The following is a 26,389-nucleotide window of genomic DNA, read 5'->3' on the forward strand; positions in this document are numbered from 1 at the left end:
AAAGTTAGTTACTTGTATATAAAAGGTTTTTTGTCTTATGTGGTTTTTTAAGCAATAAAAACCAATTTATTCAAGACAAAAGTATGATGCAGAGAGATTCCAGCCATGTTTTAGATAACATATTGTATCAGGGCCTATTGAAACTAGAAATATATGCCCAACCTAAAGACATTTAGAGTCATAGTACTTCAAAACACCACAGGCCAAACAATAAGTATGAGACTCCCAGTATCCTGTTTTTCTTAAAGCAGTGAGAGCTACTGAAGATTTTTGAGGGGATAGGTATCTGATAGAGTTGGTTTAGAATTTCTGTGAATGAGTCTTTGTGACTGCTTTATGGTAAGCTTCTTTAAGGTTTCTCATTATTTCTAACATTATTTCTAACATTCAGCTAGTTGCTACATTGCCTGATGATGTTCAGCCTGGGCCTGATTTTTATGGACTGCCATGGAAACCTGTATTTATCACTGCCTTCTTGGGAATTGCTTCGTTTGCCATTTTCTTATGGAGAACTGTCCTTGTTGTGAGTAAATTAATGCATACTTTAACTCATAAATTCAAGTATGGTTTTATAATCACAGTCCTTTTGTTTCTTTTTCAGTTTCTAATATGAACAGAAATTAATGCTTTTAATTCAAGCTAACCTTGTAAAATAATTTAGTATAATTTTTGTGTTGGTAAATTCTTAAGTGAATAAGACAACATGTATAATCTCAGTGGGAAAACTTCAGTTTATATGTCTCATATCAAAGTCTAAATTTTAAGAATTAGGTGGGTCTGTATTTCAACTCACAAAGGATGAAAAGAAAGAATTAGATAGGTCATATGTACACTGTTAGTAGAACTAGGAATTCTTAGAGCCATCCTGAAAAATAGTTTCATGATGTGTATGATAAGCCTTAAAAATGGTTATATCCTTTTATATTGTATTAATGTCATGTCTAGTAATCGATCCTAAAGAAATAACCAGTCAGCCGGCACAGTGGCTCACACCTGTAATCCCAGCACTTTGAGAGTCCGAGGCAGGCGGATCACTTGAGGCCAGGAGTTCGAGACCAGCTTAGCCAACATGATGAAACCCCATCTCTTCTAAAAATACGAAAATTAGCCAGGTGTTGTGGCACATGCCTGTAATCCCAGCTACTCGGGATGCTGAGGCAGAGAATCGCTTGAACCTGGGAGGCGGAGGCTGCAGTGAGCTGAGATGTGCCACTGCACTCCAGCCTGGGTGACAGAGTGAGACTCCATCTCAAAAAAAAAAAAAAAGAAAGAAAGAAATAACCAATCATGCATTAAATATCTTACATGGCCGGGCGTGGTGGCTCACACCTGTAATACCAGCACTTTGGGAGGCGGAGGCGGGTGGATCACATAAGGCCAGGAGTTTGAGACCAGCCTGACCAACAAGACAAAACCCCATCTCTACTAAAAATACAAAACTTAGCCGGGGGTGGTGGCAGGAGCCTGTAATCCCAGCTACTTGGGAGGCTGAGGCAGGAGAATCGCTTGAACTGGGGAAGCAGATCATGCCACTGCACTCCAGCCTAGGCGACAAAGTGAGACTCTGTCTCAAAAAAAAGTTTTAAATATCTTACATGAGAGCATTCAGTAGAACAGTATTTATTAGAGTGAAAACTTTGACACAACCTACTGTGATTCACAGTGGGAAAATTGTTAAATTATTGTATGTTCATATAATGGGATATTAGGCTGCTTTATATAATTCAAAGACATAGGAGCACAACAAATACTCACAATTTAACATGAAGTAGAAAAAAAGTAGAAACCAAGACTTTAAGGTATAGATAAACTGTATATTACATAAACATACACACAGAAAATAAATGCTGCAAGGAAATACAATAAAATGATAAAAATTCTTATATCTAGGAGATGAGGTAAGTTTTCAGTTTTTAAAAAATGTGTATTTTCCAGATTTTCTGATTTCATCATGTACTATTTTACTCAGAAAATATCTTTTTATTTCGAAATGCAAATTATATCATGTGTAAAGACACACCGTTAATTTTTTTATCTTCTGTGCAGAATTTGCCTTTCAGACTTAAACATGTTTGTATAAGTGTGTATACTCATACTTGTACATCCTTATGATTATACTATATAGCATTCAGCTGCATAGTTATTTAACATAATTGGGAGAAGATTATTTGTGTAAATGAGCTTTGCAGATGAAAAGCTTTGTATTGAAACTTCACAGTTAAAATGGCCAAAATTATTGGATGCAAATCTTTCTAAAACTGAGTACTCTTTTTCTGATTTCATAATTATATCACATATATCATCATTAATAAATTTTCTCTCACAATTGATTGTAAAATTACTTAAAAAGAAGGGTCTTTTTTCCTGTGAGGCCTTCTCTAACCTCCTGGTGCTTTTCTTCAGATAAAAAGGGAGAATCAAAGGGTAAATGGAAGGGGAAAAGTTGAAAACATTTTACATTTCCCACTCTTGTTTCTCCTATTTGTTAATAAAAAAATTCTAACGCCTTTTTCGTTTTTCAGAAAGTTATATAGGCTCTGTGTCCTAACTGCTGTTCCTCAGCCTCAGCACTTGACTTTTGGAACCTTGGTCTCTGCTTGCCTGTTAGTTTGGGTGAAATGGAGCAGAGGAATTAGCAAGGCCATGACATTAGAGAGATAGTAATTTCTTTCCATGTTGGAATTTTCTGAATGCATATTCCTATAACAATGGTATTATAAGTGAGATTTAGATACTGGAATTATTATGTATACAGTATATTAATTATTGTATACAGTAATACAGTATATTATGTAAACAGTATATTTACTGAGCTTATGGATGATTTGTGGACTGGTGTTAGTATCTCATCAACATAACATTTGAAAGGGAAAATATGTTCTGGGTTGCAAAGAAATTTAGTAATATTCTTTTTACAATATTAGTTACTGCTTAGATTTTCTTGTCCTATAATTTAGTGCTGTCTTTGGGGGATGATTTGGGTGCCCTTTCAGGAAGATGATAGTTGTCATTTCTCTTGTTGCTTATGCATTTTCCTCTAGTAGTCTTCTCTTCCCTGTCAGGTTTATGAGCACTGTTTTTAGTGGTCTAGGAAAATCACATAATCTAGCTTAGTATTTATAGCATTATTTTTAAATTCAGCCAGTAGTCAACTTTGAGTAGGATTTCTGAGATGTTTTCTGGAGAGCAAAAGAGGTGTGTATCTTAGTACGAAGATCATACCTTTAATTATGTTTCCTCAGAGTCTTTTTGAGTAGTCGTTGTTTTTAGATTTCTTTCTGGCTATTTGGAGTTGTCAAATAAGTGACTTTGAGTAAATAAAACGTTAATATATTTATTACAAAAATATTAGCCATTTCTGTTATTCAAGTTAAGTGCTCATTTCGTAAGACTGGTGCTCATTTAGATATATAAACATATCTTTAGCTGTGCAAAGTAAGATATTTACCTCAGTGCTTTATCTGTCAGACCACAACATATCACTACTGGTTAAATTTGAAATGCTTTTTAACCTTTTTAAGTTTTTTCATCTTGAGGATTCATTATGCTAAACCAAAGTTTTATTAAATTCTCATTTGGTTACAATTCTGACAGTTGTATTAGAAACTATATACATCTATTAATAAAATGTTTGACATCAAATTTAATTTTATTTCTCTTTTCTAGGTGAAGGATAGAGTATATCAAGGTAAATCTTTAGGCTTTTTTGTTATTTGTACTAGTCCCTCTGTATTGGTGTTTGATATGGATTTTATATATAAGTAGTTTTAGTAACTTCTGATGTCTGACTGACTTATAGCTTCTGAAAACTTTACTGTTCCTAGGTTGCCAGGTTGTATGATAGAGTAAATGGTGATGCTACCAACTGAGATGGGAGATGAGGAGGAACGAATTGTGGGAGTAGGGAGAAGATCATTAATTTGGGGCAGATTGACCTTAAATGTTGATGTAGTACCAATTTATTACATGTGACCAGTGTCCCTGTGCTAATGATTTAGTCAGTACATTAAATATTTATTTAAGTAGATAATTTGAGAACTAGAAATATAAATCAGCACGCCTGCATTTTCTGTTTCTCTTTGCAAATGACATATTTGAAGTGATGCCATTTTCTGAGAAGAAAGATGCTTCATGCAGGGAGGAATATTGAGCTATAACATTTTACTGTATTTCCCATCTTGGAAATAAATTAAACTCTCATTGAAATAAAGGTTCTTATTATATTTTTCTTAAATTCTAACCGTATTTTTACATCCTTATTCTTGTTAGCAGATTGCTTTTTGTATTAATCTGTTCTCACACTGCTATAAAGAAATACCCAAGGCCTGGTGTGGTGGCTCATGCCTGTAATCCCAACACTTTGGGAGGCCAAAGCGGAGGATTGCTTGAGCTCAGGAGTTCGAGACCAGCCTGGGCAACATGGAGAAACCCCATCTCTATAAAAAAAATATAAAAGTTAGCTGGGTGTGGTGGCACACACCTGTAGTCCCAGCTACTCAGGAGGCTGAGGCAGGAGGATTGCTTGAGCTTGGGAGGCGGACTTTGCAGTGAGCTGAGATTGCACCACTAAACTCCAGCCTGGACAACAGAGCAAGACCCTGTCTCAAAAAAAGAAATACCTGATACTGGGTAATTTATAAGAAGTTTAATTAGCTCATGTTTCTGCAGGCTATAGGAAGTATAGCGGCATCTGCTTCTGAGGAGGCCTCAGGGAGCTTTTACTCACAGCAGAAGGCAAAGCGAGAGCAGGCCATCTTACATGGTGGGAGCAGGAGCAAGAGAGAGTGAGCGGGGAGGTGCTGCACACTTTTAAAACCAGATTCCACAAGAACTCAGTCACCATCACAGAATAGCACCACAGGGATGGTGATAAACCACTCATGAGAAATCTACCCTTATGATCCAATCACCTTCCACCAGGCCCCACCTGAACACTGGGTACTATAATTTGTTATGAGATTTGATGGAGACACAGAACCAAACCATATCACTTTTTAAAACCATAATAGTTATGCTGAGAAGTTATTTTTTGTCATAGTGCAAGATAACATGTCTTTGCTGCTGATACATTGGGTAATTCAATTTCATTTAGTGATCATAATAACCTTATTATTTTTTTCTTTTTTCAGTCACGGAACAGCAAATTTCTGAGAAGTTGAAGACTATCATGAAAGAAAATACAGAACTTGTACAAAAATTGTCAAATTATGAACAGAAGGTATGATTATTCTTTGTTTTTTTTTTTTTTCATGGTCCCAGCTTGAATTATTTGTCACCTATCTTATAGTTCAGTTACTATGGTATTTTTAAATAGTATTTATTATTACATTAATTCCTATAAACCATCCAGATCTTAAGCAGTCATATGTGTAAAGTACTGTTTTCTTCTGTAAGAGGTCAGTCACTTGAAAATAAGTTCTGGTAGCACTATACTTTATATTTCTGGATTCTGAATGCTTTATTTTATATAGATCAAGGAATCAAAGAAACATGTTCAGGAAACCAGGAAACAAAATATGATTCTCTCTGATGAAGCAATTAAATATAAGGTAAAAACTTCTTTTGGGGATTACATTTTAAAACAAAAGTAAAAGTAATGAGTATAACTAACCTTAATATCTTTTTTGTAGGATAAAATCAAGACACTTGAAAAAAATCAGGAAATTCTGGATGACACAGCTAAAAATCTTCGTGTTATGCTAGAATCTGAGAGAGAACAGAATGTCAAGAATCAGGACTTGGTAAGAGTTTTGCTGCTAAGTATTACTAATAATTTGGGTTTTGAACTCTTTTGTAGATTGAGTTGAACTCTTTATTTTCCATGCTGTTATGTGAAGTAAGAGTGCGAGTCAGGGAAGTTGAACCTACTTCTGTCCATTTTTGTGGAATTTTAAGTACTTACACAAGAAATTATTCTTACAGGCCTAGGAAGTATTTTGGTTCTCAACCCTAGGTAATTGTCATATTGCTTGGCTCTGCCCTCCGAAACATGTGGAACAACTAAGAAACCCAGTTGAACAGTCCTTGTGTTTTGTTTTGTTTTGCAAAGTTTTTTTTTTTTTTTGCTATAAACATTTTATTTTATTAATAGAATAGTTTTAGAATGACCTAAAAGTTGCAAAGATAGTAGAGAGGGTTCCATAAATCCCACACCCTATTAATCTTGATGACCTCGTTGAGGTAGTATTGCCAGGTTTCTTCACTGTAAAATTACTTTTTTTTTTTTTAAACTTTTTGCATTATTGTACTCTTTGGAAGGAAGTTACTATCGCAGCCCACAGTTAAAAAGTGAAGGGTTATGCTCCATCCTCTTGAGGAGCCAGAATCTTCATAAATTATCTAGAATTCTATATGGGTGATCTGTCTATTCTCACTCCAATCCTACCATTTTTAATTTAGGCAAGAGCAATTGGTGTTTGACAAAACAATTGTCAAATTGTACTAAATTAAAGTACCTTGGGGATTATTTTTTTCTCTTGCCACAAGAAAAAAAAAAGTCACATTGATTTGAACTGGTTTACTTAAAAGTTTTTTCAGTTTCTTTTCTTTCACCTTTTAGTCTGGTCATCTACCACATTTTATTCTAACCAGGAAGGTTGTGTATGCTGTGAAATATTTATGCCTTTGATTATTTTCCCTTACCTCTTTAAGTTCTTGATTTTTCCCGAGGGCAAAACTGAAACACCTGCTTTTACCTGAAACATAGGGGATGGCTCTGGGACATACTTTGTTGATGTTTCTTCTTCTTAGTATGTATCCCAGTGTTTCTACTAAAATCCTAATATGCATTTTGTGTTCTGTTTTTACATGGCAGATATCAGAAAACAAGAAATCTATAGAGAAGTTAAAGGATGTTATTTCAATGAATGCCTCAGAATTTTCAGAGGTAAAGCTGACTGTAATTCCTGCAGGATATTAATACTATATCATAGTTTGATTGCAGAGCAAAAATTTGATATATGCTAAAATGTGCAAAAAATGAAAACTACATGATGTTGGGTTGGAAAAGTAACTTTTTCTGGTTTTCTTTGGAATTAATTCACTAATAGGAGTGTTTTGCATTAGGTTCAGATTGCACTTAATGAAGCTAAGCTTAGTGAAGAGAAGGTGAAGTCTGAATGCCATCGGGTTCAAGAAGAAAATGCTAGGCTTAAGAAGAAAAAAGAGCAGGTAAAGGAAAGTGCGTGTCCCAGGTCATGTAAAATAGAGAACTCAGTATCATACCTCATGAATGCCTTTACTCAGATCTATTTTTAGGGTAATATATGTGCAGGATTCTGTTCTTAGATATGCAAAGTTTAAACTATGCTTCCAAAATTGAGTGTAGGTATACATTCTCTATCTGTTCTGGATTTTCTGTTCTGTACAATTTATTTTGGCTATCAGAGTGTGTAGTCTTGTTTTGTCAGACACCAATTGCTATTAACTTGAGTAGCCTCGAGTGGGTAGTAGATTGGCTTTTTAGACCCAAGAGTTAGATATTTTATAACCCTCCTTTGAGTAGTTACTGCTTCACTAGCCAAGGGAAGGTTACATGATCAGGAGTGTGGACTTGGGAGATAGTAGGATGAGCCCTTCTGTTCCTTCTGGAAGTGAATTATTTGAATTGGCTACAATTTTCTGAAGGATGCAATAAACAAGATCAATTTCCTTGATAGCTCTGATGTTCTCACTACAGCTCTGAGGGTTGGGGCCACTGTCTCCTCCCACTTAACCAAGGTCTTAGCCCATAGTGATAGGCCAAGGAGAGGCATGGTTCCTTATTTACCTGTCTCATTCATGTGGTCCTAATGTCTCCAGTGCAAAAGCCCTAACCTGTGGGAATCATGTGTTTTAACTTTGCAGTTGCAGCAGGAAATCGAAGACTGGAGTAAATTACATGCTGAGCTCAGTGAGCAAATCAAATCATTTGAGAAGTCTCAGAAAGATTTGGAAGTAGCTCTTACTCACAAGGATGATAATATTAATGTAAGTGCGTTCATGAATACAAGCTTAATTCTTGTGAATTATCAAATCTGTTGAATTAAATGGAAAGACTCTTAATGCCCTTTTACTTCTTTTCTAGGCTTTGACTAACTGCATTACACAGTTGAATCTGTTAGAGTGTGAATCTGAATCTGAGGGTCAAAATAAAGGTGGAAATGATTCAGATGAATTAGCAAATGGAGAAGTGGGAGGTAAGATCAGCCTCAAGGAGGATGGACCCCTTTTGCCTTCCTGTCTTTAAGTGCACCAGTGCTACTTTTCAGCTGGCTGCATTTCCTCTTAAGCTTTCGAGGTGTAAATACATTGGATTTGAATGTGTGTCTGTTTGCATTGGGCAGAGGTGGATTGCTAGGGTGAGGTGTAGCAGTAAGCATGCAGTGAACACTGACTTTGTTTTCACATTGAGACTAGAAGGGTGCACGGGAGCTGCACTGGTCATGTCTTACACCTCTAAGTATTGGACACATACAGTAGTAGAAACTTGTTTTTCAATTTCATGGAGATAACATTTTAAAACTTGTCATCTCAGTAGCTGTGTGGTTTTAAGGCCCACAACTGGTTTTAAGAGTACTGAGGTGGTTGGAGGCATAAACTGACTAAGGCCATGAAAGAAAACCACAACTGGTTTTGAGAGTACTGAGGTGGTTGGATCCATAAACTAAGGCCATGAGAGTGGAGGCTATAGTGTTGCAGTGTTTACTGATGAGGAAAATGTTTCTAGATGCCCTCTCTCAAGTTGGATATTGCTTGTGTAGTGGGTGTTTTAAACCACACCTGGTAGTAGATTCTGGAGGAGAATAGGAGGGAATCTTTCTGAATAAGACACTAAGCCCAGATGGAAGAAAGAGCTTTATCTCACATGTTTCTTCTTGCTCAATAATGGCATGTATAACATGTTTATTGTACAAATGGGAATTCACTTTTTCAGTCTTAAGTTTGCAGTTCTCTTAAAAGTCAGTCTAATCCTTTTCTGTTTTTGTTTGTTCTTTAAATGTTTGAACATGACAATTGTTTAGTTTTGGGTAAATCAAGAAAATATAGATTTAAAAAGCAAGGGAAGAAAAAGCAATGAAAGAAAGCCTTTTGTTTTTTAGGTGACCGGAATGAGAAGATGAAAAATCAAATTAAGCAGATGATGGATGTCTCTCGGGTATAATCGTTTTTAGAGTCCCATAATTGCCTGTGAATACTTTTACTATGCCTCACTTTTATGAATACTTGTCTCTTCTGCAATTTTTAGACACAGACTGCAATATCGGTAGTTGAAGAGGATCTAAAGCTTTTACAGCTTAAGCTAAGAGCCTCCGTGTCCACTAAATGTAACCTGGAAGGTAGGTTGCTTCTTGAGAAGAAATTGCTATATATTGGAAAGATACAAAATTGCATTAGAAAGATAAAGAGCGGCTTCCTGCTTTCATACTTCTCATTTCTCTCAGCACCAGCCCCCAACCAAGTTCTCAAGTTCTTGTGCACACATATGGAACTCAAATGTTTTATCCTTTACAGACCAGGTAAAGAAATTGGAAGATGACCGCAACTCACTACAAGCTGCCAAAGCTGGACTGGAAGATGAATGCAAAACCTTGAGGCAGAAAGTGGAGATTCTGAATGAGCTCTATCAGCAGAAGGAGATGGCTTTGCAAAAGTAAGATTATCATCATTTACTGTTAACTGTATTGTCATGTCAGTAAATAAATGTGTACTAATATAGATAATGTTATCGTTTTTCAGGATTGTACTCTTTTGCATCTGTAATTAGTATAAATTTGTCTTTCTTTCTTTCTGCTTTGTTTCTCATAAGCTGCATTTTTCTTTCCTTTCTAACCAGTAGTCAAAAACTGTTGCCTGTAACTCACTTAAGGGGGAGCAGTGTACTGGTACTGACGGTCGCTGCTGTGGGAGTGCTTCTCTTTTGAAGATCTGGCCATGCCTTGTCTGTGGCTCCGCCACTTGTTTCACTTTCCTTTCTTTGTGGTCAATTATGTAATTTCCTTTAAACAGTCTGAGGGATTTGTATGACGTGTTTTAGTAGAATAAAAACTTCAAAAAAGGAAAATTTACTTATTGAAGGTACATTTAGTTTTGGACTTCACAGAGTAAAATATTCAAACTAAACATAATTGTGGCAAAGATATTAGGAGTTTTGAATGTAGAACTATTTGGTGTGTATATTTAGATAATAATCCTCTGAAATACATATCTCAAATTTCGAGCGAGGTACCTTTTGAGAGGTATATTTTTATAGTTCAAGTTTTTTGTCCACAAAAACATCTGAATTCTCTAAAAATAGGTTATCTGTGGCAGTTGCTATTTGTGTTTGCTCTTATGTTTTACTCTTTGGTGTATATGGCAGTGTGTGAGGAGGCCTCTCTTGCTAAGCAAATTTAACTTTTTTAAATGCTTAGACTGCTACTGCTGTATGCCATTAAATATTGAAACCATACCATTAACTTTTTCTCTAATTCTTTGCTCACCAGGCAGCCAGTTTAGATTTTCCAGGTTTTGTTCAGGCCAGCTCTAAATAAATGCCTGTCCTGCTTCAGAGAGACATTCCTCATTTCATTACTTTTTAAAAAAGAGCACTTCTCTGCCTCCAATAGTAATGTGAATTACGTAAATGGCAACTGTTTTTCTTCGTGATACAGTTAACCCATTGATGTGGCAGTGTTTTATTCAACTTCCCCAAAATTCATTCAGTCTCCATGTGTGGTTTGTACTCTACTGTCCACCCCTAAAGTCACTGTGTTAATTCAGGCCCTTGTCATCTTTTATGCCAGTCCCCTAGCTAATCACGTATCTCCAGACTTTCTTTCCCTTTTTTTTTTTTTTTTTTTTTTTTGAGACAGAGTCTCACTCTGCCGCCCAGGCTGGAGTGCAGTGGCGTGGTCTCAGCTTACTGCAAGCTCCGCCTCCCAGGTTCATGCCATTCTCCTGCCTCAGTCTCCCGAGTAGCTGGGACTACAGGCGCCCGCCACCATGCCCGGCTAATTTTTTTTGTATTTTTAGTAGAGATGGGGTTTCACCTGTGTTAGCCAGGATGGTCTCAATCTCCTGACCTCGTGATCCACCCGCCTCGGCCTCCCAAAGTGCTGGGATTACAGGTGTGAGCCACCGCGCCCGGCCAAAGAATATACTTTAATGCAGGTTCAGTGAGTTTACTTTTGTATGAAAATGTCTTTAGTTTGACTCCATTTTAAAAGGATCTTTCTGCTGGTTCTGGAATTTCGATAGTTGTTTAGTATCAGCACTTTAAAGATAACCAGTTATCCTCTAGTTTTAAAGTTTCTTTGAGGAATCTATTATCATTCTTATTTTCTCTTTTCTCTTTTTTCAAATGTTTTATGCCTGCCCTAGCTGCCTTTCGTCATTTTCTTTTTGGTTTTTCAGCAGTTTTCTTGGGAGGTGCCTACATGTAGGGTTTTGTCATCACCCTTCCACCCTACCCTCCTGCTTTTTCTTTTGCATTTATACTGCTTGAGGTTATAAACATCTCTTGAGTTTGGAGCCTCTTTTTTCACATATTAATTCTATCTTATTCTCACTTGTCCTGAGAATCCAATTCAACATACTAGGATCTCCCACCCCTACCCCTCGCCCAATGCCTCCTACATTCTGAATATGCTTCATTCTGGATGTTTTCTTCTGACCTATCTTCCAATGTGCTAAAAATCTCACCTCAGTTGTCTAATCTGCTAAAATCATTGAGTTCTTTTTGGTTTCACTATTTTTCACTTTTATAGTTTCTAATCCTCTGCTGAAATGTGTAATCTTGACTTGTACTTCCTTCAATTTGTAAGGCACAATTGCTTTAAAATCTATGTGGTAATCCTATTATGTGGATCCCTTATGAGTGTGTTTCTCTGGTCTTCTAGATTGTGATTACATTGTCTTGTCTTGTGGAATGTCTGGTTGGTTTTGATGGAGTGGTGAACATTGTTTTTGAAAATTGTAGGGGAAATTTGAGGTCTAAGATGATGTTATCATCCTACATAAAAGATATGAGATTACCTCTAGCAGGTGGTCATTACTTTATTCCAGTTAGCAATTAAAATCATTCAAAAATGGCTTAGTTCCTTTAAAGGACATTGTATTTATTGCCTGTTCAATACTCCAAGTGTGCAGCTCTTTTCTGGTCTCAACCCAAAGCCTAGGGCTTTTACTAGGGGTCCTTCTCATTGGCAGCCCTGAACTCCCTCCGCTTCTTGTTTCTCTCAACCCAGGGATCTGTTGAAAGTTCTTTTCAACCTTCTTACATATCTGCATTGTCTTCAATGCATGGATGAACCTGGGGGGAAATGGCTTAAAATGCCGGGCTTACTTATAATTCTGTGTTTTTTCCTACTGGATTTTCTTCACTGCCTTATTAGCTTTCTGATGCCTTCGAGCACATTCTTTCTATTTTTGTCCATATGTTCTTATTTTCAGTGTTTGCAGACTAACTCATCCATTATTGGAAACAAAATTCTCTTGAATCCTTCTTCAAGACTTGTTTTTTCCACATCCCTTCCTAAGCCAGAGTCAGAGAGGGATTGTTCTGTTCTTATATGCACCTTTTACACATTCAGCTGTGAGCTCCATTAGTGCAGAGGTGGTACTTACCATAGCCATACCTTTATCTTAGTCTCTTACAAGGTAATTAGTATAACCACTCATAAAATATTTGCTGAAGTATTTATTGAATGAGCAGTTGTAAAAGAATACATAAACTTTTTTCTCTTTGGTGTTAATAACCCTTTTTACTATAGCTCCTCTATTTTTGTTTCCAATTTATAGAAAATTTGCAAGTATCTTTTGCATCAGAACTATGAGTAAAGAAGTACAAGGGTAACTACAAGTAGCACTTTTAAACCATTAAATGTTGCTGCCTTTACAATCTGTGTTATAGTTGGCTAACCTCTTGAGCTTGAAGGTTATCAGGTTAAAACCAATTTCCAGTACATAGCACCCTGATTACAGGACAGTTTGGATTCTTTTTCTGTTCAACAGACATTGCCAGTACTCGGATTTGTCTCGCTGCTTTATCATGATTCCATTGAAATAGGTAGGGGAGCTCCATATCTGAAGTGTGAAAATGTTCTGGGGTTAATTGTACAGTTAAGGACATGTTCTAAAAAGCTCTTTCATTGGCTGTCTTTATCATGGTACCAGCCTTGGATTGAGAAACAGCCCATAAGAAAATTAATTAGTGGTCTTTCCATGGTTAGAAATAAGAGAATTATCTCCTGCATCATCCTAATAAGCTTAACTGTGTTAGGTTGATCAGTCCTGGCTTTCTACATTGAAGAAAAGTGAGCATCATTTCAACCCAACAGTCTTTGACACATAGTGTTTTTTCACATTTGTTTCATTTACTAGTGAGGAGAGAATTATGAGACGTTAGAAAATGCAGGTGATGTATCAACAGGCCACAGTTGGATTTTTATCCTAAAGGACAGTTTTATTTCCTTCCTGTGACTTTGTATAATCTATGCATTTTTAAGAATAGGATAGGAAGTGAGATTTTATTGGAGTATTCAGACAGAATGCCAGGAGGAAAAGAGAAACACTTTCATTGACAACCAGTTTTATCTTAGGAAACTGAGTCAAGAAGAGTATGAACGGCAAGAAAGAGAGCACAGGCTGTCAGCTGCAGATGAAAAGGCAGTTTCGGCTGCAGAGGAAGTAAAAACTTACAAGTAAGTTCACCTCCTAAAGAGGGTATCAGTGGCTAATGAAACTAGTGTTGGCTTTTTTTATTAGCACAAAAGCATAAATAAGTGGTTAGAGGACATGAATACATCAATTCACACAAAAGAAAAACTAAATTTTAAGTTAACAAATGGAAAAATATTAACAAATACCCAGTGCTGGCAAAACTGTAAGGGAACTTGATTCGTGCAAACAGTTCTGGGGGTTGGAGGGGGTGGGAGCAGTTTGTTATATGATGTATCAAAAGCCATTAAAGTGATTTTGCCATTTGATAGACCCAGTAGTCCTAACTTTGGGAAAATTTTTATGATGTAATTAAAGGATGAAAAAAGGTTTATAGTGGAAGATATTAATAATAGGATTATTTGAGAACATATTTAGGAACAGTTAAAGGAATTGTAATATATCAACTCAATCTCCAGCTGTTAAAGGAAATTATGTATCATTAGTTTTCATCATATTGTACTTTTGTTATAACCAACCATGTAAAATATGCTTTATATTTCTGGATAAGCTCTATTAGGGTACAGTTGTTAGGGTAACGGTTAACATAGTCAGATTGTTTGGGTTTTTATTCAGTTGTGCTTTAAATGATAAAGCCAAGTGTAATTCTTAGGCGGAGAATTGAAGAAATGGAGGATGAATTACAGAAGACAGAGCGGTCATTTAAAAACCAGGTAATAATTCTAGTGCCCTACTATATAGTGCCCGGAATTCTTTGATAACTAATAGAGGCTATTATAATGAATCTGTATGCATATTTTGTGATGTATTATCTTTTTCAGATCGCTACCCATGAGAAGAAAGCTCATGAAAACTGGGTAAGATTTCTTTTTTTCTTTCCCTTATTTTGTGCATAGTCTCCCACAACTGAATTTGGATATTTTTCTTCAATAGCTCAAAGCTCGTGCTGCAGAAAGAGCTATAGCTGAAGAGAAAAGGGAAGCTGCCAATTTGAGACACAAGTATGTGGATTTTGATGGCTATATTTTCAGCGCGTGTTCTCTTAAGGAATTGGTTTCTATTTCATATTTAACTCTTTCTTAAATATTCTTTCTCTATATTCAAGATTATTAGAATTAACACAAAAGATGGCAATGCTGCAAGAAGAACCTGTGATTGTAAAACCAATGCCAGGAAAACCAAATACACAAAACCCTCCACGGAGAGGTAAGGGAGCTACCTTGTAAAGGGCAACAATCTGTTTTTTGATGTAAAATGTATATAAGTGACTTTTTGTTTCTGTGTGTAATGGTTATGGTACCCTAGGAATAATCCCAAGAACTGAATAAAGAAAAAAAGGCTGTCTTAAAATGCTAACAAGATGCTGTCATCTTTAGGTCCTCTGAGCCAGAATGGCTCTTTTGGCCCATCCCCTGTGAGTGGTGGAGAATGCTCCCCTCCATTGACAGTGGAGCCACCCGTGAGACCTCTCTCTGCTACTCTCAATCGAAGAGATATGCCTAGAAGTGAATTTGGTGAGCATTCACATGTTTCCTTGCAATACTCTTTTGGGTGGCTTTTTCCCTTTTATTTGAGAATTCTAATGCAAACACTTTAGAATTCGGGTCTGTCCAGTATAGAAAAGAAAATTTCTTAATTTGTCTTGGTGGATTCAACTGCAAGTATTCAACTGCAAGATTTGCTTTAGAACAGAAGGCATTTATTATTTTCCTTTATTGTTTTGTTTCTCTTTAATTTTTTACTCTGAAGTGTAAGCCCTTATCTTTCAATTAAAGTTCTGTGGGATTCCTCTCCCAAATACAGCTGACCCTTGAACAACACAAGTTTGGTCTGTGCAGGTCCACTTCTATGCAGATTTTTTTCAAAAAATATTTTGGGAAATTTTTTGGAGCTTTGCAATAATTTGAAAGAACTTGCAGATGAACCACATAGCCTAGAAATATAAAAAAATTAAGAAAAATTTATGTATGTCGTGAATGCATAAAATATATGTAGATACTAGTTTGTGTTATAAACTATTGGAAAATATACAAAGATCTATTTTAAAAAGTTAAAATTTATCAAAACTTGCACAAGCACAGATGTACATGACACCATTCACAATTGGGAAAAAGTAAACACATGTAAAGATGCAGTTTTAAATCATAAATGCATAAGATTAGCTGTAGTACATACTGTAGTACTACAATAATTTCATAACCACCTCCTGTTGCTATTGCAGTGAGCTCAAGTGTTGTGAGTATCCGCTTAAAACACCGTGTGATGTTAATCTGCATGTGGGCAGTTCATCTCTCCAGTAAATTGTGTATCACAGTAAACATAATCTCTCATGGTTCTTGTGTATTTTTCATGTTTAGTGCAATAACATAAACCTTGAATAACACCATGGGACCCATATAAAATGCCACTAGTGATGCTGGAAGTATTCTCAAGAAGCAAAGTCATGACACTACTAGAAAAAGTTGAATTGCTTTGATATATACCATAGTTTGGAGTGTGCAGCAGCAGTCATTTCAGTCAGACGATTCATCTTGTAAACAGACCATGTACACGTACAGTACAAATACAATACAGTGTTATAAATACATTTCCTCTTCCTTATGATTTCAATAACATTTTCTTTAGCTTACTTTATTAAAGAATACAGTATACAATATATATACAGAATATGTGTTAACTGTTTATGTTATTGGTAAGGCTTCTGGTCAATAGTAGGCTATTTACTAGTAGGTAGGTTTTGGGGAGTCAAAAGTTACACGTGGATTTTTGACTGCGCAGGGGATCAGCACACCTAACCCCTGCATTGTTCGAGTCAACTGTATTATAAAAGTAGCCTTAATAACTTTATCGTTTATGCGGCATACATGTTTCCACTTGTCATTACTATATAGTATGAAACGCTGTTGAGTCTATTTTGAATCCTAAATATGTCTATAATACTCAGTAAGATACGGAAGTCAGATTACATATACACTGAACAAAAATCACCATGTAGAATACTGTACATGTAAGTCTGTAGCTTGAAGTATAGAACCAGAGCCATTAATGTGCAGGGTTTATTGTTCTTTCAGTGCAAGGCAGTTCTTATTTTAATTCTTTAAGTCCGTGCATAAATTGTAAGTGATTTCCCTTCATAAATATTGGGAGACCCATTTTTAATGTTGCTTTCCAGATAAGACTTGAACCCTGATCTGTCCACAATTTATTATTTCTTCCAAAAAATACATATAAGGACTCTGTTATTTCTTTCTCAAGGATCAGTGGACGGGCCTCTACCTCATCCTCGATGGTCAGCTGAGGCATCTGGGAAACCCTCTCCTTCTGGTAAGGGAGCAAGAGTGTTCAAAGAGTCTAAAACCATGCAGGAAGTGGGGAGAGGATTTTTTTTTTAATCCTCCTCACAGAGTACACAAGTCAGAATAAGTCTACATCAGTTCTCTGGTCTTTAACAGATCCAGGATCTGGTACAGCTACCATGATGAACAGCAGCTCAAGAGGCTCTTCCCCTACCAGGGTACTCGATGAAGGCAAGGTAAATGCACCCATTTTGAATAATTAGTTATTTCAGGAACATTTAGCTCTTCCTACAACTCTCTCTTTGCCTCATCTCCTATTTGTGTGTTCTATCTGTACTATCTCATTTATTTTTTAAAAAAGCAAACTGTTCTCCAAGAGCCTGAAGTCCCCTCAGTTCCCAGCATTACATCTTTGGCTGAGCGTCCAGTAGCAGTAAGTACTTAGAAGTGTGGACTGAACTGGGCTATAAGTTGCATGGCAATATTGATCTTACTTTTATCCTTGACTTGGGAGTGTTGCTGAAATCTGACGGATTCATTGGCCTTTTCTCCTCTCTCCTGTTTGGTTAGACATTTAACCTGTGTAGAGCATCTGCTGTAACTGTAATTAACTTAAACAAAAGTGAAAAGTCCCCACTCTTGTGTGTCTCAGTGTTTAATGCTCTTAGGCAAAGTAAATTCATTGTAAATTGTGTAATTCATTATTATGTCTTCATTTGGAAGTGTGCTATTTAAGAATACCTACAGTTGTATACTAGGCAAACCCTATTTTGAATGATCTGAAATTACAGATTGATAACAGAAGAATGTTTGCTGGAAGTGAAATACTGAATAGTGGAAGTCTATAATTACCCGTTGAGCCAGTTCCCAGCAGTGTCCTTAAACAGTGTCCACATAAGTGTATTCTCTTGTAACTTGTATAGCTGTTATGGCTGGTAAGTCCTCTGATCATACCTCACTGTGATTCTCGACATTGAAATTAAAATAATTTTAATGATTGAGAGTTTCCAACCCACTTTCCCATAGGAAGTGATTAATCAGTATCTCATAGTAGACAGTATTACTAGTGAATGAAGATGAATAGAGCTGTGCCTGTATAATTTGTGTACATAACATTGTTTCTCTTGGAAAATACTTCCAAGTTCCAGCACAGGACTCCAGGAATACACATTTCTTGAGAAATGTTTTTATCCAAGAGCAGCTTGGATAAGACCCGAGACCCCTTTGAAGTAGGAGACTTCGAAGAGTGTAGAGACTACTTTGTTAGAAAGGAGAAGCAGAGGTGGAAAGAACGTGGCCTTGGAGTCAAACCTGGCATGGAATTCCAGCCAGCCTCTTACATGCTGTGTGACCATCAGCAAATCTAATACTCTCTGCGCCTGTGTTCCTGCATATTTAGAACAAGATGGTCCTATTACAGATTTAGAGATGTCAGAATTTGTGTTAATATATGTAGGGCCTACAGAAGGTACTCTGAATAATCGCTGTTACATGGTAGAGAATGGATTTTTCATTCCCTTTCATTCTCTGCATTCTTAATATGGAAATTACTCTGATAGGAGGGATGTGCAGAGGGAGTGACTGCCTTAGAAATAGATGTATGAATGGCGTAACTTCTATCATTAGTCAGGAATGACCTCCATTTATAACCTGTGCGTTCCCTTCCATTTGCAGATGTAAGCAATAATATGATACAGCAAGTGTTCACTCCTGTGGCATACTTTTAACCTTTCTAAGCTTGTCAGTGGGAACAAATGAGAGGGGTAGAGTTTTTTGCACTAATTCTGCTCTTTGGACAAGTGCCTGACATCTGCTTCATTGGGTTTTAGTTTTTACTGGTGTTGGTGCTTTTGTCTGTCATACCATAGTATTTCAAAACTTCAATTGTTTCTACTCTGCAGGTTAATATGGCTCCAAAAGGGCCCCCTCCTTTCCCAGGAGTCCCTCTCATGAGCACCCCCATGGGAGGCCCTGTACCACCACCCATTCGATATGGACCACCACCTCAGCTCTGCGGACCTTTTGGGCCTCGGCCACTTCCTCCACCCTTTGGTAAGATGATCTGAACAGTAGTAATTGACTTGTAAAGCACATTCATCTTCTCCATCTATCCCTTGCTAAAACAACTGCAATTGCGGGGCTTTGCAATGCAGCAGTGAAGCTGATTGAGTACACCGTAACTTTTCCCCAAGTTTCTTCAGACACAAAGGGTGCTACATAATCTCCTGTGATTAGATGGGCAATAGTTGTCTCTAATAGAACAAGGAAAGGGGCTATTTATAAAAAGCCAGAAATATTCATCACATTGAACATCTGTGGCTGTGTACTAGGCTCTGCAATGGATAGCAAGGTAGATAAAATACATCCCCTAACTAAGATGTCCTGTAGGTCACAAATATACACATTCTACAACATAAAGCTTCTAATCACCCATAATGGAAGCATAAGCAGTAGGTCACAGAATATTAAGGAAAGACAAAACCCTCAACCCTCACCTTGGGAATACAAAGAAGGGAGATATGAAAGAGAAGGTAGAATTTAACAGCTATCTAATGAATGCTGCTGAATTTAATTAGATGGAGCTGGAAAGCCTTTTCCAGCAGGGCAAGCACCTTAATTTTTATGGCATTTATTAGGTACATCTTGAGCTACTGCATAAATTTTTAACTGATACACAGTAGTTAATGGAATTTATCAAAATTTTTATTGCAATGAAGCCATATTTAGTCTGTCTTCTTGGTATGGTATATAGTACTTCCAAGTACAAATCTATCTCTCTTTTTCAGATAAAGATGGCAGGCCAGGCACAGTGGCTCACGCCTGTAATCCCAGCACTTTATGAATCCCAGCATTCATTAGACGAGGCTGAGGCAGGTGGATCCCTTGAGCCTAGGAGTTTGAGACCAGCCTGGGCAACATGGTGAAACCCCCATCTCTACAAAAAATCCAAAAATTAGCTGGGAGTGGTGGCGTGCACCTGTAGTCCCAGCTACTGGGGAGTCTGAGGTGGGAGGATTGATTGAGTCCGGGAGATTGAGGCTGCAGTGAGCCATGATCACTCATTACACTCCAGCCCATGTGACAGGCAAGACCCTGCCGCCAAAAAAAAAAAAAAAAAAAAAAAAGGATGACAGACTATATTAACATACCTGGCATTATCTTAATTTAAATACGTTCCTAGGAATTTACTGGAAATAATTTTTGTTTTCCAGGCCCTGGTATGCGTCCACCACTAGGCTTAAGAGAATTTGCACCAGGCGTTCCACCAGGAAGACGGGACCTGCCTCTCCACCCTCGGGGATTTTTACCTGGACACGCACCATTTAGACCTTTAGGTTCACTTGGCCCAAGAGAGTACTTTATTCCTGGTACCCGATTACCACCCCCAACCCATGGTCCCCAGGAATACCCACCACCACCTGCTGTAAGAGACTTACTGCCGTCAGGCTCTAGAGATGAGCCTCCACCTGCCTCTCAGAGCACTAGCCAGGACTGTTCACAGGCTTTAAAACAGAGCCCATAAAACTATGACCTCTGAGGTTTCATTGGAAAGAAAGTGTACTGTGCATTATCCATTACAGTAAAGGATTTCATTGGCTTCAAAATCCAAAAGTTTATTTTAAAAGGTTTGTTGTTAGAACTAAGCTGCCTTGGCAGTGTGCATTTTTGAGCCAAACAATTCAAAAATGTCATTTCTTCCCTAAATAAAAATCACCTTTTAAGCTAGAGCGTCCTTACAACTTTGAAATGTGCAATAAAGAATACCTGTGTTTTAGCTAATGTAGCATATGTAATTGCAAAATGATTTAGAATGTCATGAAAAATATGAACATTTCCTGTGGAAATGCTTTAAGAACATGTATTTCCATTATCCTATTTTTAGTGTACACCAGCTGAATACGGAGCAATGGTGTTTATAAGCGTTTTTTTAAACTATCTGGTCACAAAGACTGTTACGCTAAAAATGTTTACTAAAAGATCACTAAACTATCTCCCCTCTTGCTGAAGTTCTTTGTAGTAATAGCTCATAAAAATTTGTTTATTAATATTTCCCAAGTGTCTGTTGACTCATTGGACTGTTATGAGGCTTGTGCCATTTGGGGAACATGTAAACTCAGGCTCCCAGAACTGAAGATGGTGGCTGGTGGCACACTTCCGGCTGCTCCTCCGTCACCTGTGAACTCTACAAGTGACGTCTTTTTATTTCAAAGAAGTTTATTTCCCACTTGTATAGCATTCACATGCTTTCTTTACGATCCTCATTGTCTATTTGAGAATGGTTTTCTGAGAGTGAGTTTACATTAGTAGCAAGAGTTGTTTGACCTGATGTTCCATTGTTTTTACCATTCCTGTAGAAAAAGGGTGCACAACAGAAAAATGAAAATGATGTGTCATGGCCATAAAAGTATAGAAATCTTTAAAAATTTTAAAATGTACAGTCCCTTATCTATCTTTCCCATTCCTTGCCACTGATTTTTGAGGAATATAATAAAAAGATTGGAAGAGTATAATGCCATGAGAAAGAATGATTTAGGACTGTGAGGGTTATAACATGCCCTAGGTCAGCAACCAAGGGTTGAAATCAGTTCTGTTTTAGGGGGAAATGGGGGCGACAGATATTATTCCAAAATTAATATTAATTAATATTTAAACGTTGGTGTTTTTATTTAAAAATCAGTAACTAACCATCTGGAATTGCACCATACTTAAAGTCTTATCCATTACTACACTGTCTTTAAAACAATGTTTCTTTAAATACTCTACAACGTTTCTAAGAACGAACTTCAGACATTTTAATTACAGTAATAATAGCACTCCTTTTAAGGAGTTTCAGATCCACACTAAAACTAAAATCATAAAAGGCTGATACTTTTGTTTGCTGCTAGGCTATATTCTTCCATTCTTTGAAGTCCTATGATGTAATATTTTTGAAACCTAGTGTATGTCTTGTCACTGTTGTGATATTTAATCGATTAAGAATACCTTGTAAAAAGGAGCAAAAGCTTCAATGTGAAACAATTTTCTCTCTTTATACTAAACAACTGAAGATAGATAGTTTAGAAAGATAAGGACCTTTGAAAGAAGACAACTCTGTCAAAGTTCATAAGGAATATAAAAATTCTTCAGGAAAAGAGAATTCAATCTATATGTCCTCCCGTTTAATATCAAGAATAGAAGAAATTAAGAGGAAAACTCCACAGAAGAGCATAGGCCACTTTTAGCCATGTAAAAATAAGATTAAGTCACAAATACAACTTTTGAATTTACCTGTCAATATCTCTTTAGGACACAAAACAATGCTGAAGTTAATATAATTTCTAATTTTAAATGTCATTTAAGTGTAGATTATGCCATCTAGGAAGGTAAGTAGGAAAGGTAAATTAAATCTATTTTTAAAATTCAAAATATTAGAGTATTTTTCCCCTCTAAAGCCTTTTTTGGTGATTATTCTGTATCTGACATAATTGAGAAACTGGTAAGCTGTAAAGATTCCAGTGTAGCTTCTCTGAGAAGTTGTGAGCCAGTCCATAACTGCTTCCTCACATCCATCTGATTGCACCATTTCTGCAGCAAACCCCAAAGCAGGGTGCCAATATGCAGATGGCATAGGGAGTATCATCCCTCAGCCAAATCACTTTTCCATCTCTAAAGTTTCATCTATTTTGGAAGTCATCTCCAACTAATTGTGTCTGGATTTAGTTGCTAAAATTGTCTTATTTATGAAGCAGCAATATTCAGCCTGAAAGCATTTCTGCCATAGTTGTTGTAGTTATATCGCCAATGGCTGATTTTTTTCATTGGAAAGTAAATTTAAGTAATTCGTGGGATGTGGTATATTCTGTGTCAACTTCAAGATAATCACTCATTTTCTCGTTATATTCAGGTCTGAATTAAAGTTAAGTTAATCACACAGTGTTCAATTTAAGCTTCTTTAATGTTGATGAAAGGTATTTGTAGTTCATATAAACTATACTTATGTGAAGGATAGCAGATGCTTCATATAAATTATCATTTTGATATACATATCTTATGGTTTATGAGAAAAGAGAAAAAATAATACATCGGTTTTGCTACACTTTAATGGGTTTTTTTTTTAAGGGATTTTTTTTCAGGTCTTGTCAGCAACATCAAACAAAAGGTACTGAGTACTCCACAGGGTACAGAGTGCTGCCAAGCACCTTAGAAAAATTACATGACACGGAGAAAATGCGCCTCTTGCTCCTTGAAGAGCTTACAGTCTAGGGATTTGACAACTCACAGTCTTAGGAACTGGGCAAAGTAAGGCAAATTCTTCATCCCCTAGAGCTATTGTGGACTGAATCATTTTAGAATTTGGAATTAATCCAATCAAGATGAGAGACAAGACTAAATTTGGCTGAGAATTCATTCAGGCTCGCATAGTTTTTATTAACATCCGTCTAGTAAACAGAATGGACCTAACAGACAACTGAAAGTAAAGACTAGATCTCTTGAAGTGCAAGGGCTACAACAACTTAGTTGTGGTTACTTATTTTAAAAAGCAAACATACTGAATGGTATGACTAGGGTGATTACACTAGTTTAAAAATAGGCCAGGTACTGACACTGCATTCCCCTCATGCATTGCTCATTTAAAATAGTGAATATTAAAATATGTGGGCTTTACATCTAACCCACAGAAAGCCCACCGCAAATGTTCTGTGTATCAAATATCCACCTCATGTGTACTATGAAAGTTTTATTTATGCCCCATTAAGTCAAAAGTAAATTATAGTAAGCTAATGACCTGCATATTTTCATATGGATGAATGTCAGTATATCTAAATAGGAAATAAATGGCGATCCTATCTACCTATATAAAAAAAATAGAATATCTTTCCAGATTTTGCATACTCCTCACTGTAAGAAGAGGTATGCAGGTTTTAAGGTTTCACAATCAGTTGTCAGAAAAACAGCAGTTATGCCTGCAGTATCTCGTTAGCATCTGACTCAATTATTTTTAGATTACATTGTTTAGAAGACATTGTAAACCCATCTAAAACTTTGTAATTATTTTGAGATGGTTCCAATGTTAACCCTAGAATCATCATCAGAAAGAGTAACAATGTGATGTAGAAGAACAGCTAATCGACATGACTAAAAATATGCTCATTTTCAGAAAAACAATCTGGTCATCTGGAAACAATCACAGCTACAACCTAGGGAACACTCCCATGTGGGATACTGATCTGGCCAAGGCACACTTTCTAAGCAGGAAAACTATCAGATCAGGGTGAATTTAGGCCACTTCAGAGGTGCTGCCTATAAACATCCAGACAGACCTTCTTAGGCAGCAGAACTGGTCCCATTCCTCTCAAAGCAGTTTGACACTACCCTACCCACATCAACCCAAAGCTTGACGTTAAGTCAAAAGAGCATATTGGAGCAAAAGTGAACAGATGTGTAAACTCTAGCACATTCTTATTGCTGTATTAAGTCTGAAGATGAGCACATCCTACCCACAACAGTATTGTTCCAGGAAGCAGGGTAGGAGTAGTGGTAAATTAGAAAATAGACTATTAATTGCACAATTAATAGAAAAGTAAAAACATGTTTCAAAATCTACAATAAACCTGTATCCCAAGGAGTCCTATACGTCAGTGTGATGTGCTGGACTCTGAATTCTGTGGTACAGCTTTGCATTGGACTCCGTCCGGCCTACTGGTCTGGGTACGGCTTGCTTCCTGCCTGTTGAAGGGTGAATATGCTACACAGAGCTATGATGGTTTCTACTGAGTGGTAAAATTCACAGAAGTTCCAGGTTCATCATGTCAGGATCATTCCTTGTGCAAAGTTTGATGTAGATGAAGATAAAGTGGTTTCTTGGTCAATAATTGCAATTTCTTTCTTTTAAAGTCAGTGGGTTTCTTGTATCTGTAATCACAACAGAAAGACCATTGTTTAAAATACATTGATAACTGAACTCTTCAAGGTTAAATACTGGATATGGGGGATTCAGAAGAAAGATATACTAGTCACCATCAAATTAGTACTAATTCTATATGCACATCACTTACAGTTCTATTACAATTGGCCCAGGTTTAATTTCATCCATCTCCATGAAAGCAAAACACTTGGTGCTGGTAAACCTTTTTTTAGGCTTGTAGTGTTTGAATTCAAAGAAGATAGCTGCACCTAAGGAATTAAAACAAGCCACATAAACCACAGATAGCACATTTCTTGTGTGTCAATTAATTTTCTTTGATCACCAGAAGCATATGAACAGCTACAGCTGGCATAATTTGACAAAACAACTTGTGCCAGTCTCAATGATTTGACAGTAACTTACTATGGTTGTCACCCCGAACTCTTCTGTATCTGAGTAGAGTGACATTTCTCCTTATCATCCAATTCTACAAACTATAGCAAAACTTCTTGAGCTAGACTGCCTCAAGAATGTATAACAGTTATGTACACAGGTAGAATCATAAGCTGCTATAAAATATGAAATGCCACAGAAGAACAGAGAAGATACTTCAATACACATAGAGACTCATTAGGTAGAAAATGCATTTAAAAGAGTTCCTAAAAAAATTTAAGCTCGAATTGTTTCCCTTACCCCAAAACAAAAACTCAAAAATTCAATCTTGGGGGTATTTTGGAATTCAAACAACATAAATCACATGCTGGCTCAGCTGGAAAATGTTATCTGTTTCCTTAACACCTTTTTCAGTATTCAAAGCACTGCTGTGATGTTTTTCCTGGAATTGCATGTTTGTGTCAAGACAGTGCTGTAGAAGACAAAGGTTCAAAGAGCAAATCTATTTATTCTGCCACTCTCCTCCAATGAGCAAGTGATAATGAGAAATTTAGACAGTTCTGGCCGGGTGCGGTGGCTCATGCCTGTAATCCCAGCACTTTGGGAGGCAGAGATGGGCAGATCACTTGAGCCCAGGAGTTTGAGACCAGCCTGGGCAACAAGGGGGTGGTAAGACCCCACCTCTACAAAAAAAATTTTAAAAATAGCCAGGCTCGGTGGCACGTGCCTGTACTCCCAGCTACTCGGGAGGCTGAGTTGGTAGGACTGCCTGAGCCCAGGGAGATTGAGGCTGCAGTGAGCCATGATCATGCCACTGTGCCCCAGCCTGTGTGACAAAGTGAGACTCTGTCTCAAAAAAAGAAAAAAATAAGAAATTTAGACGGTCCTATGTCCCCAAAGTCCAACAGATAAACTCTTCCCCCAATCCTGCAGAAAAAAGCTAAAAATGGAGAAATAAGTTGCCTCATCAATGTGGCCAACAAAAATGAATTTCTAAAGAAGGCATGGAAAGTGAAGGAAGTCAGTGTCTCACTCTTCACCAGCTACTTCTAAATACTGCCTTAACCAGAGCAGTCCAGGAGCTTGGCTTGCAAAGACAACATACATTTAATACTGCCGCTGATGACAAAACTCACAAGTCACTAGAAGTTTAGCAATGTTCAGAAATGTGTGTACA

The 26,389-nt window shown here is 37.0% G+C and overlaps 2 protein-coding genes across 11 annotated transcripts in view, besides 1 other annotated feature; one reads left to right on the top strand and one right to left on the bottom strand.

Annotated features, from left to right (window-relative positions):
* Nucleotides 1-22,845, top strand: part of MIA3 (MIA SH3 domain ER export factor 3) — a 49,911-nt gene extending 27,066 nt beyond the window's left edge. For 3 of the 10 annotated variants that reach the window (NM_001324062.2, XM_017001243.3, NM_001324065.2), the window contains 23 exons: nucleotides 392-523; nucleotides 3,667-3,688; nucleotides 5,130-5,218; nucleotides 5,472-5,549; nucleotides 5,631-5,741; nucleotides 6,815-6,886; nucleotides 7,066-7,170; nucleotides 7,846-7,968; nucleotides 8,066-8,177; nucleotides 9,081-9,136; nucleotides 9,227-9,317; nucleotides 9,493-9,631; nucleotides 13,560-13,661; nucleotides 14,291-14,351; nucleotides 14,460-14,495; nucleotides 14,572-14,639; nucleotides 14,744-14,844; nucleotides 15,015-15,152; nucleotides 16,894-16,962; nucleotides 17,091-17,170; nucleotides 17,296-17,367; nucleotides 18,836-18,986; nucleotides 20,147-22,845. In NM_001324062.2, coding sequence (NP_001310991.1) covers nucleotides 392-523; nucleotides 3,667-3,688; nucleotides 5,130-5,218; nucleotides 5,472-5,549; nucleotides 5,631-5,741; nucleotides 6,815-6,886; nucleotides 7,066-7,170; nucleotides 7,846-7,968; nucleotides 8,066-8,177; nucleotides 9,081-9,136; nucleotides 9,227-9,317; nucleotides 9,493-9,631; nucleotides 13,560-13,661; nucleotides 14,291-14,351; nucleotides 14,460-14,495; nucleotides 14,572-14,639; nucleotides 14,744-14,844; nucleotides 15,015-15,152; nucleotides 16,894-16,962; nucleotides 17,091-17,170; nucleotides 17,296-17,367; nucleotides 18,836-18,986; nucleotides 20,147-20,457 — 2,319 coding nt within the window. In that variant the 3' untranslated portion in view covers nucleotides 20,458-22,845. Of the gene's footprint in view, nucleotides 1-391; nucleotides 524-3,666; nucleotides 3,689-5,129; nucleotides 5,219-5,471; nucleotides 5,550-5,630; nucleotides 5,742-6,814; nucleotides 6,887-7,065; nucleotides 7,171-7,845; nucleotides 7,969-8,065; nucleotides 8,178-9,080; nucleotides 9,137-9,226; nucleotides 9,318-9,492; nucleotides 9,632-12,759; nucleotides 13,662-14,290; nucleotides 14,352-14,459; nucleotides 14,496-14,571; nucleotides 14,640-14,743; nucleotides 14,845-15,014; nucleotides 15,153-16,893; nucleotides 16,963-17,090; nucleotides 17,171-17,295; nucleotides 17,368-18,835; nucleotides 18,987-20,146 lie in introns of those variants that run through there. The other 7 variants (NM_001324064.2, NM_198551.4, NM_001300867.2 and 4 more) reach the window with 4 other exon arrangements.
* Nucleotides 9,810-10,049: an enhancer, noted in NCBI's record as "active region_2581". NCBI's record gives its function as "activates an Ori minimal core promoter by ATAC-STARR-seq in GM12878 lymphoblastoid cells {active_cell/tissue: GM12878}" and the evidence as "EXISTENCE:reporter gene assay evidence [ECO:0000049][PMID:35858748]".
* Nucleotides 22,846-22,850: 5 nt separating the features above from the next.
* The window catches only part of AIDA (axin interactor, dorsalization associated), a 44,479-nt gene continuing 40,940 nt past the window's right edge, over nucleotides 22,851-26,389 (bottom strand). The window contains exons 9-10 of the mRNA NM_022831.4: nucleotides 24,971-25,088; nucleotides 22,851-24,827 (exon numbers count right to left, since the gene is read on the bottom strand). Of these exons, the coding sequence (NP_073742.2) occupies nucleotides 24,731-24,827; nucleotides 24,971-25,088 (215 nt within the window). The 3' untranslated portion in view covers nucleotides 22,851-24,730. The remainder of the gene's footprint in view (nucleotides 24,828-24,970; nucleotides 25,089-26,389) is intronic.

The sequence above is a fragment of the Homo sapiens genome, chromosome 1 (assembly GCF_000001405.40).
Source record: "Homo sapiens chromosome 1, GRCh38.p14 Primary Assembly".
Taxonomy (NCBI): domain Eukaryota; kingdom Metazoa; phylum Chordata; class Mammalia; order Primates; family Hominidae; genus Homo; species Homo sapiens.